The sequence below is a fragment of the Homo sapiens genome, chromosome 5 (assembly GCF_000001405.40).
Source record: "Homo sapiens chromosome 5, GRCh38.p14 Primary Assembly".
In the NCBI taxonomy this organism is placed as follows: domain Eukaryota; kingdom Metazoa; phylum Chordata; class Mammalia; order Primates; family Hominidae; genus Homo; species Homo sapiens.
In genome coordinates, this window is record NC_000005.10 from 77809353 (window position 1) to 77811804 (window position 2452).

The 2452-nt window shown below is 47.9% G+C and overlaps 1 annotated feature.

Annotated features, from left to right (window-relative positions):
* Nucleotides 239–1438: an enhancer, noted in NCBI's record as "BRD4-independent group 4 enhancer chr5:77105415-77106614 (GRCh37/hg19 assembly coordinates)". NCBI's record gives its function as "activates an origin of replication core promoter dependent on BRD2, P300/CBP, MED14 and CDK7 cofactors, and independent of BRD4, by STARR-seq in HCT116 cells {active_cell/tissue: HCT116}" and the evidence as "EXISTENCE:reporter gene assay evidence [ECO:0000049][PMID:35650434]".

Sequence of the window (2452 nt, forward strand, 5' to 3'; positions counted from 1 at the left end):
ACAGACAGCATGTTTGCATTTATATTAACTTCAAAAGCAGACAAAACTAAACATTAGGGCCGGGCGCGGTGGCTCACGCCTGTAATCCCAGCACTTTGGGAGGCCGAGGCGGGCGGATCACGAGGTCAGGAGATCGAGACCATCCTGGCTAACACGGTGAAACCCCGTCTCTACTAAAAATACAAAAAATTAGCCGGGCGAGGTGGCGGGCGCCTGTAGTCCCAGCTACTCGGGAGGCTGAGGCAGGAGAATGGCGTGAACCCCAGGGGGCGGAGCCTGCAGTGAGCCGAGATTGCGCCACTGCACTCCAGCCTGGGCGACAGCCAGACTCCGTCTCAAAAAAAAAAAAAAAAAAAAAAAAAAAAAAAAAAAAAAACTAAACATTATATCTTGGAGAGATATATTCAAACATGGTAAAACTTCAAAAGAATGGCAAAGAAAAGATTGCTCAAACATTAGCCCAATTGTTAGTCCTGGCAGGGAAGAGAGGCACAATATTGGGAAAGAACATATGGAGAGCAATGTTTTACTTGTTATCTTGGATGGTGGCTACATAATCACTTACTTTGTTACTGAGAGGTGAAGCCAGCTGGACTTCCTGGGTCAAGTGGGGACTTGGAGAACTTTTGCGTCTAGCTGAAGGGTTGTAAATGCACCAATCAGCACTCTGCAGAAACGCACCAATCAGTGCTCTGTGTCTAGCTAAAGAATTGTAAATGCACCAATCAGTGCTCTGTAAAAATGCACCAATCAACACTCTGTGTCTGACTAAAGGATTGTAAATGCACCAATCAGTGCTCTGTAAAAATGCACCAATCAGTGCTCTGTGTCTAGCTAAAGGATTATAAACGCACCAATCAGCACTCTGCCAAATGGACCAATCAGCAGGAAGTGGGCGGGGACAAATAAGGGAATAAAAGCTGGCCACCCCAGCCAGCAGCAGCAACCCACTCGGGTCCCCTTCCACGCTGTGGGAGCTTTGTTTTTTCACTCTTCACAACAAATCTTGCTGCTGCTCACTCTTTGGGTCCGTGCCACCATTAAGAGCTGTAACACTCACCGTGAAGGTCCGCGGCTTCATTTTTGAATTCAGTGAGACCAAGATCCCGCCAGAAGGAACAAACTCTGGACACATCTTGGCGACCACGAAGGGACTATTGCCAAGCAGTGAGTACCATTGGACCTCTTTCACTTGCTATTCTGTCCTATTTTTCCTTAGAATTCGGGGGCTCAACACCGGGCACCTATCAACCAGTTAAAAGCCACTAGCATGGCCGCCGGACTAAAGAAATGGGTGTCAGCCTTTCTGGGAAGGGCTCTCTAACAACCCCGGACTCTTCAGAGTTGGGAGTGTTGATTTTCCTGGAACCAGATTCCGCTTTTCCTGTACTTCTGGGCTGAACCAAGGGTCGACAGAGAAGAAAGCCATTCAGCTCCGGGGTCCCGACAAAAAGTTGGTTGTTGCTTGACCCTGTAGTCATGAGCAGAACTCTCAAAGTCACGTCACCCAACCGAGACTCATCCATCTATCCTATCTATCCTGACCCTTGCCTCCTGGGTCTTAATGCCTGTCAGACAAACTTCCTCCCAACTCTCTTCTCTGAGGCTAGTCCCACTTCTAAAAACAACTCCCAGTTTCTGGTGCTTTACTAGTTTCTCCTATAAGAATGATTTCTAGTATAAACTTCAGCACTCTGTTCCCTTCTTTAGGAACCTGGGCTCACCAATCAGAAAGACATAATTTTTGCCCAAAGCCCCATCAGGAGCCAGTGGGGGACTATCTGGAACTTTAGGATCCCTCCTCAGACTAACAGGCCTAACAAAAGCTATTCCTGAAGCTAGGATATGGAGAGCCTCAGAAATGATATCCTTCCTATTCATATGATGAGAAATGAGGACAAAAGACACTCTTCCAACCCTGGAGATCCCTTCCCTCCCTCAGGGTATGGCCCTCCACTTCATTTTTGGGGCATAACATCTTTATAGGACAGGGGTAAGGTCCCAGTACTAACAGGAGAACACTAAGGACTCTAACAGGTTTTTGAGAGTGCGTCAGTAAGGGCCACTAAATCCGATCTTCCTCACTCCTTTTTGTGGTCTAAAGGAAAATTAGGGTTTCTGCTGCTGTGTTGGTGAGCGCAACTATTCTGATGAGTGGGTTCAGAGACCGTTGTGGATTCTTGGGCAAGAGGGGTTTCTGCTGCTGCGTTGGTGAGTGCAACTATTCCGATGAGCAGGGTCCAGGGACTGCTGCAGGTTCTTGGGCAAAAGGGGTTTCTGCTGCTGCATCGGTGAGTGCAACTTTTCCAATCAGCAGGATCCAGGGACCGTTGTGGGTTCTTGGGCAAGAGGGGTAAACAAACCAAAACCATGGGCGGGTTTTCTTTCAGATGGGAAACATTCTGGCATCAACAGGCTTACCCTCGAAATGCATCCTAAGCCATTGGGACCA